At 62.3% G+C, this 9475-nt stretch overlaps 8 annotated features.

Annotated features, from left to right (window-relative positions):
- Positions 1-3115: part of a meiotic recombination region, noted in NCBI's record as "meiotic double-strand break mapped by DNA meiotic recombinase 1 chromatin immunoprecipitation followed by single-stranded DNA enrichment and sequencing in the germ cells of some male individuals with the PRDM9 A/A and PRDM9 A/B genotypes", that runs on past the window's edge. NCBI's record gives the evidence for it as "EXISTENCE:chromatin immunoprecipitation-seq evidence [ECO:0000229][PMID:25395542]".
- Positions 1-9475: part of a biological region, named in NCBI's record as "Xq28 proximal FLNA-EMD recombination region", that runs on past both edges of the window. NCBI's record gives its function as "recombination_partner: LOC107988033".
- Positions 621-633: a nucleotide motif, noted in NCBI's record as "nucleotide motif; similarity to the predicted 13-mer PRDM9 A binding motif (LD hotspot motif), CCNCCNTNNCCNC".
- Positions 713-802: an enhancer, noted in NCBI's record as "active region_30057". NCBI's record gives its function as "activates an Ori minimal core promoter by ATAC-STARR-seq in GM12878 lymphoblastoid cells {active_cell/tissue: GM12878}" and the evidence as "EXISTENCE:reporter gene assay evidence [ECO:0000049][PMID:35858748]".
- Positions 833-972: an enhancer, noted in NCBI's record as "active region_30056". NCBI's record gives its function as "activates an Ori minimal core promoter by ATAC-STARR-seq in GM12878 lymphoblastoid cells {active_cell/tissue: GM12878}" and the evidence as "EXISTENCE:reporter gene assay evidence [ECO:0000049][PMID:35858748]".
- Positions 1143-1155: a nucleotide motif, noted in NCBI's record as "nucleotide motif; similarity to the predicted 13-mer PRDM9 A binding motif (LD hotspot motif), CCNCCNTNNCCNC".
- Positions 1220-9475: part of a non allelic homologous recombination region, noted in NCBI's record as "proximal repeat sub-region recombines with the distal repeat sub-region within the Xq28 distal FLNA-EMD recombination region, resulting in an inversion", that runs on past the window's edge. NCBI's record gives the evidence for it as "EXISTENCE:Southern hybridization evidence [ECO:0000078][PMID:9140403, PMID:9384614]".
- Positions 2056-2068: a nucleotide motif, noted in NCBI's record as "nucleotide motif; similarity to the predicted 13-mer PRDM9 A binding motif (LD hotspot motif), CCNCCNTNNCCNC".

Raw genomic sequence — 9475 nt, 5'->3', positions numbered from 1 at the left:
CAATGAGCAGATCAAAGCATGGGCTGAGCACAGGTCACCTCCCTCCAGGGCTCCTGCTTCACCCCACCCTGACTCCAGAAGGCACCATCTATCTTTGCTTCCTCTGCCTCCCTGAGTTCAAGCCAACGTAAGGAGAGGAACATGTAGCAACCTGGAATGGAGCCCAGGCAGCAAGGAGGCAAAGAGCTGGGCAGGAGAGCCCATTACTGGGTAGGGTGGTGTCAGGAAGGCTCCCTGGTGGAGGTGGCCAGATAATCAACAGCAGGCCCGGCCGGGTGTGGTGGCTCACGCCTGTAATCCCAGCACTTCGGGAGGCCGAGGCAGGCAGATCACAAGGTCAGGAGATCAAGACCATCCTGGCTAACACGGTGAAACCCCGTCTCTACTAAAAATACAAAAAATTAGCCAGGTGTGGTGGCGGGCGCCTGTAGTCCCAGCTACTCGGGAGGCTGAGGCAGGAGAATGGTGCGAACCCAGGAGACAGAGCTTGCAGTGAGCCGAGATCGCGCCACTGCCCTCCAGCCTGGGCGACAGAGCGAGACTCTGTCTCAAAAAAAAAAAAAAAAAAAAATCACAGCAGGCCCTGGCCATCTGCCAGGTAACTTGAACATGCCACCATGCCACCATTCCCCCAAACAAGGGACTGGGATGAGGCCCCCTCCCCCAGGCTCTGGGCCTCAGGGCCCTTTAGTTAACAGGTGGCAGGAGGTGGATGCATTCAAGGTGCCAATCCCAGGTACCCTGGGCCCCCTGCTGAATATCCCCTCATTGGTACCCCTGCCGTGGATTCCCACACCAACCTATGTGTCTCCCACTGTAAAGATTGCCCCCAAACACATAACATCCCAAGTCGTCCTGGCTCCTGGTGCTGCCTGCATGCTATCGGGACATCCCAACTGCAGCACCCAAAGCTGCCTGCTCCCTGGGCCAAAGGCTTTGGCCCTCGATCAAACCCCTGACAAGGACACCACCACCTCAGACATCTGCAGACAAGGGCCAGGAAGCAAGGCTCTCGGGGGCAACGCTCAGCTTTCTCGCCACATCCTCCCTCAGCTCCACAGCGTCTGACACGACCAGGCCGTAGCCTGCAGCCATGGCACACGTCAAACCCAGACCTTCTGAGACCTCAACACCACGCGTACCCTCCTTGACCCCTGTTGAGAGGGCAAAGTAGAAAAGGCAGCGGCAGTTCAGGCAGGATGGCTACTTTTATTTCTCACTGGGGCTGGGCTGCTGGCCCCAGGCTCAGGGCGGCCACTCACTGGGAGACACGGGGCAAGCAAGACACAGAAAGGGGAAGTCCCACCCCCAGCCGCAGCCACTCTACTGCTCCCCCTGGGCCCAATGGCATAGAGGTAAAGGGGCCAAGCACACTCTGGAAGCCTCTAAAAGCCACCAGCTGAACGGGGCTGTGAGGCAGCAGAGCCAGGCCCAGAAAGATGCAGTGCCAGTTGGGAGGACGGGAGGTCCCCCTGAGGCTGCGACTTGTCCGCTCAGCCCACTGTGTGCCCAGGATTCTGAACCTCTGGGGCACTCCCTCCTGTCCCGAGTCACCCAGGGTCTCCTGCCCCCTCCCTGTGTCTGCTCCATCACATCCCCTCTCAAGCCCCATGCCTGGCAGGGCCACCGCCCTAGGGCTGGGCTAGGTGAACCAAGGGCACCGGTCCCCCAAACCTGCCGATCGTCCCCAGGCTGCAGGGAGGGACACATGTGGGGCGGCAAGGGCAGAAGATAAACTAGGGGGATCCGGGCCCCTGAGGACAGCCCTGGCGGGAGGCCACAGGCCTCACAGGGTGGTGAGCTGGAGGCCACCCAGGCAGGCAGGCAGGCAGCAGGGAAAGAGACTGGCACGGTCCTGGCCAGGGCCCCCCCCGGGAAGGGCGGGCAAGTAGGAGCAAAAACAAGAGCAGAGCACGGGCCCCCACCCTGCCGGGTCCTATGGCCTGGGGACTCACACACACTGAGGAAGACCCAGGAGGACCCGCCAGGCTACTAGGAGGAGATAAAGGGTGCACAGGCCTCCAACCCGCAGGTTGTGTCTGGACTGAGTCCAGGGAGGGCAGGGAGGGGCGGTAGCCCAGTTGACCTTCCCTCCCCCAAGCCACACCTCTGCACCCCAACCCTCCCTTCCGCCTCCCAACAGCCCCATCCCCGCTCTCCGAGGAAACTGGGAGGGGACCTGGAGAGGAAAGGGAAGCAACGGCCCCTCAGAGCGGGGTTCCCCAAAATCCATGGCCAGGGACTGAGGCCAGCACTCAGACACTGTTGGGAACACTGGCCAGGAGTCCCTCGGGGTGGACCTGGGAACCTGCTGCAGAAGCTTAGGGGACCGGGCCAGCTCAGGAAAGGGCTCAGGCTGGAAACCGAGCAGACAGGGCACCGCTGGACCTGGGGCCGAGGAGGACAGGAAGTAGGTGACTATGGAAAGACCCCCGCCGCCACCCACGCCCAACTCGGCACACAAAGGCCCAGAGAGGCCCCCAGACATGCCTGTGGGGGCAGGGGTGTTTGCAAACATTTGCAGAGGGACCGGGTGTCCCAGGCACATGGACAGCTTGCAGGGCCCGGCTGAGGCTAGGACAGCAGCAGGTGGCTGGCAGGAGGTGCCCCGCCAGGGTCCCCAACTGTGTGGGGGGCAGGCCCGAGGCAGGCGGCACCAGTCCCGGGCAGGATCTCTCGGAAGAGGGGCCGTACCCAGCCAGGGTTCCCAGAGACACGGGTGGTGGGGCCGAGTGCCCCCTCACCCTGTGCCTGGCCCCCAACAAAGGGTGAGCATGTATCCTTCCTGGACACGGTGTCCAGGGCAGGGCACTCCCGAACCAGGATGCCCCCTAGGCCACAGGACCCCTCAGCCCCAGCTGACAGCAGCCGGGGGGGATCTGGGGAGGCCCCCAGGAGGCAGGGCGGCAGCCAAGCAGAACACCATCCCTGGACCCACTCTCCAACTGCAACCAGGGCCCGCTCCCCCGAAGGCACCAGCTCTCCCTAGGGGCAGGACCTTGATCCAGAGCAGGAGTGGAGGCCCCCAACAGGGGACGGCTGGAGAGGCCCTGGGCTCACGAGCCAGGGAGCGGCGCCTCTGTGCCCGGAAGCCCCTGGGTCCTGCCTGGGCTGCTGGTAGCTGCTGCGGGCCGAGGGGTCCGGACGCCCCTAGGGTGCTCTGGGGCAGCTCCTTTGGGACCCTCAATGGAGCCAGTAAGTCCAGGAGGGCGCCGATCCGTCCAGGTGGGTGCATGGGCCGGGACAGGGTCTGGCTGCTGTCGTGGCTGTGCCCATCTGCCGAACAGGTCGCTAGGAGAGCACTCCCTGAGCGAGGGCGCCGGGCAGCCCGGGGAGGGAGGACACAGTCCCCGTCCAGGCCCCCGAGGCCCCCATAGCAGGGAGAGCCGGCCCTCCTCGCTGTTCTTCCCGCGGGATCGGGCCGGCACCTCGGCTCAGGGGAGAGAGGGTCACAGAGGACAGCCAGCAGGCAGGTGGCCCAGGAGTGTGGGGGGTCGGTGGGCCTGACCGTGTCCTGAAGCACCCCAGGACCCTGTACCCGACACCCTGGGGGAGGGGCTGTCCCCACTTGCCAGGAACACATTCCTCAGGGAAGGCCCGGCAACCTGCTCTCGTCGGGTTCAAGAAGGGCCAGGCGGCTTTGGAAGGGGCCAGGAGCTGTCACCAAGGGCCCCCGCATTGCCCAGAGGCGGCGCGGGCCAACAGGAAAAGCACTCACCGCCCACGGAACCTCTGTGACAAACTCAGAGCCACGGAGAGCGTCATCAGCAAGTCACTTGCCAGTCCCAGTGGGAAGGATGGGGCACGTCTCCAGGGAAACGAGACACCAAGGTCTTCCTGGGGCCCCAGTGGAAAGCTCCTTCCAGGACCCACCTGGCCCTCCACATCCCACCCTCCAGGCCAGGGACCGGAGCCCAGTATCCGGCAACCTGACACATCACGGAGAAAAGGAGCTGCTCTGCCTTCACCATGACGACGCGGCACACCCCCTCCCTGCCCCGGCCCCTCCCCTTCAGGGCTGCATGCGGGGAGGAGAGGCCTCCCCTGTCTGCAGAGAGAGGCTGCCCCACCTGGGGCAGAGAGGGGACAGGGGCAGGAATGAGCCCCTGGGAGGGGGGCATTGGAGGTGGGGGGCACATCCTGCCACCCGGGCTGGCGTGGGGCACTCATGCCATGCAGACCAGAACGGGCTTCCCACCGGCTCCTGGGGATGTTGGACCGGGGCTCCCCGACCAGGGCTGGGAAAGGCTTCCATGAAGAGCCAGAGAGCACACGGCGCAGACCCTGCGGGGCACACGGGGTCTCGGTGGCAGAGTCTCCCTTCTTGGGGTTCTCTGTGATGGGTTTTGCAACCCTTTCAGGATGTCAAAGCACGCCCCGCCCTCAGAAATGCAGGCCCCGGCCAGTGTCAGCCCCAGGAGGTGGCCTGCTGCTCCCGCTGACACCAAGGACATGTTCCTGAGGCGGCCCGCTCGGGATCTCCAGCAGCCGACGCAGGTCTACACGTGCAAGGGTGCTTCTGACTCGCAGCACTCAGGAACAGCCTCCACCCTGAGCGTGGCGCCCTCTCCAGCACGCGCCAGGGTGGACCTGTGAGACCAATAAAAACCACAGCGGAGGCGAGGCGAGTCACTTAGGAGACCAGGCCATGAAGAGACTGTGGCCGGGTCTGGGGCGCCCTCTCCTGCTGGTTCGACTGGATTGCAGGTCCGGGGGAAGCCCAGCAGCCCTGGGGAGGAGGCCCGGTGGGGAGGAACTGAGGCCTCCTGCCACAGCCTCCAGAGGGAGAGTCATCACGAGGGCTCCCCACCCAGTCAGATAGGATGGCTGGGCCCCAGTGGACACCTGACCGCAGCCTGAGAGGGACCCTGAGCCACAGTCCTGGCTCCCCGAGAGCCCTCCCAGAGCCTGTCCCTCAGAACCCTTGGGGGGGTGACACGAGTGCTGGGGGGGTGAGACGAGTGCTAGGTGGGGAAGGACCGAAACGTGAAGTCGTCTGTTACCCAGTAGTCGGAACTGGTGCCCAGCGTCCAGGGGGCAAGACACGGCGTGAGCCAGAAGGAAACAAACCGACAAGAACCCCCAGAAGCCATCAGGAAAGCCTGGAGATTCTGATGACACGAAAACTAAAATCCCCTCTGTGACCAAGCACAACCCGCAAACCACACAGTCAAGAGACAAGTGATAATAAGGGGAGAAAATAGTAGCAAGAGGTGACTAAGGGCTCGCGTCAGTCACACACACACAGAGCCGGACACACGGACAAGGCAAAGTGCAAGGACAAGAGAGCAAAAGGGGGCGGAGGAGAGGAAGGGAGAGGGAAGGAAGCGTCTTCTCCACCGGGATGCAATTCCTTGGGAGCCCGTCTGACCCCAGGGCAAAGAGATGCTGGGTCGCCAGAGCCGCCGCGGAGAAGTCCCGCCGGGCCTCAGAGCCCAGCAAAGAGGAACCAGGGCGGACGGGCCAAACCCAGCGGCCGGCTCCCGGGGGGGTGGGTGGTGGCGCTGCGGGGAGTCGCCTGAGCAGCATCACCAGCAGCTGGGAACCCTCCCGGTGCGGGAAGGTTGGCGGGTAAGGCGGGGCTTCCCCGGAAACACTGGGCTGGACCCAGCGGTCCCATGGGTGCTGGAACCAGCCCTGCGGGTGTTCCCAGGCACCCTCCCGCGGGAAGACCGGCTGGAGGGATGGCTCCTGTTGGCACCCACGTCGAGGGAAGCCACCGCCTTCTCTGCGGGGCTCGCCTTTCCTACCTCCCCCAGGAGACAGTCAGGCCAGGAAGCGCCCCAGCCCACGACCGCCCGCAGCAGAGCAGGATTCCCTCCCCGGCGGCCGCCGCTGTCAAGGGACGGGGAAGACTTTGTTACCCCACCGCGCGCCACCGCGGAATGGTGCACAGACACCTCCAGACGCCACTTCCCCCAAGACGGCCGCCCGCCCCGCTCTGCCCACCTCTCCCTGGACGCTGCCGGGTGGGCGCGGCCCTGCTTCCCCACGACCCCCCAGACGCGCCCCGAGGCACTTTCGCAGCACAGTGGAGTGGGAAGGGCGGGGCGGCCCCTCGACGGCGCCGAGGCGAGAGCGGCTCACGGGGCTTCCCGGGCCCTGATCTCAGGCGACGCCTGTCCGCCTCGTCCCCGGGGGAAGACAGTGACCACCGGTCTGCAAAGGAAGGGGACTCGGCGCATGCCCCGCAGGGCCGGCCCAGGACTCGCAGGCGCGGAAGGCGGTGCCGAGGCGGGGGCGGGGCGTGGAGGGACAGCCCTAGTCTCCGCCCGCCGGGGCCCACAGCTGCCTCGCTCCCCGCCTCCGCTTCGGTCGCTCCTGGTAAGCTCCAGGCGCCCACGGGAAGCCCCGCCCAGCCCCGCCTATCCGTCCTCCTCTTCGCCTGTCCTCGCCAATGACCATGCTCAGATTGCACGGAATTCCCGCCCCTCGCCCTTGACTGACGCTCCTGCTGCCCAGTGGACGACACCCCGTCGCGTGCGCGCCGCTGCGGCCCTGCCGGGTGTGGCGCGGCGCTCTCAGGCTCCTAGGCGTTCCCGGGGCGAGACCCAGGGCGCTGGCCGCAGAGTCGCCGGTGCACACGCAACAGTGCCGCCTTGTGTTTTGGGTGTGGACCTGCGCTTCTCTAAGCGTTCCATTCCCGAGAAGGGGCGACAAACGTCCAGAGGTCGTGGCACCTGCCCGCCGCTGCCGGGGCGTCGGCCGTGGGCGCAAGTGAAGCGCCCCGGGAGCGCGGCGCGACGTCCGTGCCTTCCGAGGGCGGCCCGGGTGTCGCCGCGGTGCGCGCGGGAGGGCGCGGCCGTGGGCATTTCCGCGCTTGCGCGGGTTCCTGTCCCGCCCCGGCCCCGGCCCCGGCCCCGGCCCCGGCCCCGGCCCCTCCCTCTCGTGGCCCCGCAGTAGACGCAGCCCCTCCCTCCCGCGGTGCAGCGCAGCCAGGGCTCTGCTCCGGGAGTCATGGAGTCCATCACCGCGGAGCGTTATCTCAGCGGACCCACGCGGTGTCCTCCGCTGGGGTGGGCCGAGTACCCTCCGCCTCCCGCCCGCGAGATCCATCCCAGCCCCTGGCGGGGGCCCGTGGTTCTTCCCGCTCATGGCCACGGAACGGTCCACGCTCGCGGAGCCGCAGGCTGAGCTTTTGCTGGTGAGGGACAAGGTCGTGGTTTCCCGTGGCTGGTGGCCCTCACGGAGGAGCCTGCTGGGAGCACGCCCGTGTAGGGTTTCCTGTCATCGGGTTGCCACGCCCATCTTGAACGCTCGAGTCCACGCAGAAGTGTAGAAGTGGATGTGTAGCTTTATTTGTAATTCTCTTTCTTTCTTCCTTTCTTTCCTTCTTTCTTTCCTTTTCTTTCTTTTTGAGTCAGGGTCTCACTCTGCGCCCAGTCTGGAGTGCAGTGGCGCGATGAGGGCTCACTACAGCCTTGACCTCTCCACCCCAGCGAGGGCTTCAACCTCCAGCCTCAGCCTTCCGTGTAGCTGGGACTACAGGCGCACGCCACCACCATGTCCGGCTAATTTTTTACTTTTTGTAGAGATGGGGTCTCGCTTTTTCGCCCAGGTTGGTCTGGGATTCCTGGGCTCAGGTGATCCACCCCAGCCTCACAAAGTGCTGGGATTCTGGGCACCGCGCACCGGCCGCCGCGCCCGGCTTGATGTGTAGTTTCAATAGAAACCACCAAGGTCTTCAGGGTGGCCTGTGCATCACTTTACACATACTCAAGCGAATCATTGAGAGGTGTTTGAGGCCGGGCGCGGTGGCTCACGCCTGTGATCCCAGCACTTCGGGAGGCCGAGGCGGGTGGATCGTTTGAGGTCAGGAGTTTGAGACCAGCCTGACCAACATAGTGAAACTCTGTCTCTAATAAAAATATAAAATTAGCCGGGCGTGGTGGCGCCCTCGCCTATAATCCCAACTACTCAGGAGGCTGAGGCAGGAGAATCGCTTGAACCCAGGAGGCAGAGGTTGCACTGAGCCGAGATCGCACCACGGCACTCCAGCCTGGGTGACAGAGCAAGATTCTGTCTCAAAAAAAAAAAAAAAAAAAACGTTTTTGAAACAACTTGAAGCAAGTTATCCCATGTATAAAAAAGCATGAAGTTATTTATACTATTTTTCTGTGCAATCACCCACATAATTAGCCAAGTTAAGACCCATTATGCGGCCGGGCGCGGTGGCTCACGCCTGTAATCCCAGCACTTTGGGAGGCTGAGGCGCGTGGATCACGAGGTCAGGAGTTCGAGACCAGCCTGGCTAATATGGTGAAACCTCGTTTCTACTAAAAATACAAAAATTAGCTGGGCGTGGTGGCGTGTGCCTGTAGTCCCAGCTACTCGGGAGGCTGAGGCAGAAGAATCGCTTGAACCCGGGAGGTGAAGGTTGCAGCAAGCCGAGATCGCACCACTGCACTCCAGCCTGGGTGACACAGTGAGACTCCGTCTGAAAAACAAAAACAAAAAAAAACCGTTATGCTACACGTTTTGTAGTGATTTTGTTTTGTTTGTTTTAGCTTTTTTATAATTTCAACTTTTTTGTTTTTGAGATAGAGTCTCACTCTTGTCGCCCAGGCTGAGTGCAATGGCACCATCTCGGCTCATTGCAACCTTTGCCTCCCAGGCTGAAGGGATCCTCTCACCTCTCACCTGGGTTGGTCAGGCTGGTCTCAAATTCCTGACCTCAGTGATGCACCAGCCTCGGCCTCCCAAAGTGCTGGGATTACAGGCATGAGCCACCGCGCCCGGCCTGATGTACTTTAAACTTTTTTTTTTCTTTTTTTGAGACAGAGAGTTTCACTCATGTTGCCCAGGCTGGAGTGCAATGGCGTGATCTCAGCTCACCACAACCTCCACCTCCTGGGCTCAAGTGATTCTCCTGCCTCAGCCTCCCGAGTACCTGGGATTACAGGCATGTGCCACTGCACCGGGCCTCCATTTGATGTACTTTTAAAGCATTATTATTTCTACCTTGCATTTACTATGAACACAGCCTTGAACGTGCATCCATCTCTCTCTAGAATAATTACCTGTAAGTGGAATTGCTGGGTCGAGATATATGTACATTAAAAAAAAAAATTTTTTTTTTTTGAGACAGGATCTCAGTCTGTCGCTCAGGCTGGAGTGGAGTGGCTCGATCACAGCTCACCACCGCCTCAACCTCCTGGGCTCAAGTGATCTTCCTGTTTCAGCCTCCTGAGCTGCTGGGACCACAAGTGTGTGCCACCATCCCTGGCTTTTTTAGAAAACTTCTTTTTGTACAGACAGGGTCTCACTGTGTTGCCCAGGCTGGTCTTGAACCCCTGGGCTCAAGTCCTCCCTCCTTGGCCTCTCAAAGTGCTGGTTTTACAGATGTGTCCCACCTTGTGTGGCCTGCATTTAAAATTGTAAGAGACACTAGGGAATTGCCTCCCCTAAAGACCCTACCTTTGATACTGTCCGTCCCTCGCATTGTACCCTCAGCGTTTACCCACAGCCTCACCAG

The sequence above is a fragment of the Homo sapiens genome, chromosome X, assembly GCF_000001405.40.
Source record: "Homo sapiens chromosome X, GRCh38.p14 Primary Assembly".
Taxonomy (NCBI): domain Eukaryota; kingdom Metazoa; phylum Chordata; class Mammalia; order Primates; family Hominidae; genus Homo; species Homo sapiens.
Note: the sequence above shows the minus strand (reverse complement) of the source record. Positions and strands in the feature narration are given on the sequence as shown.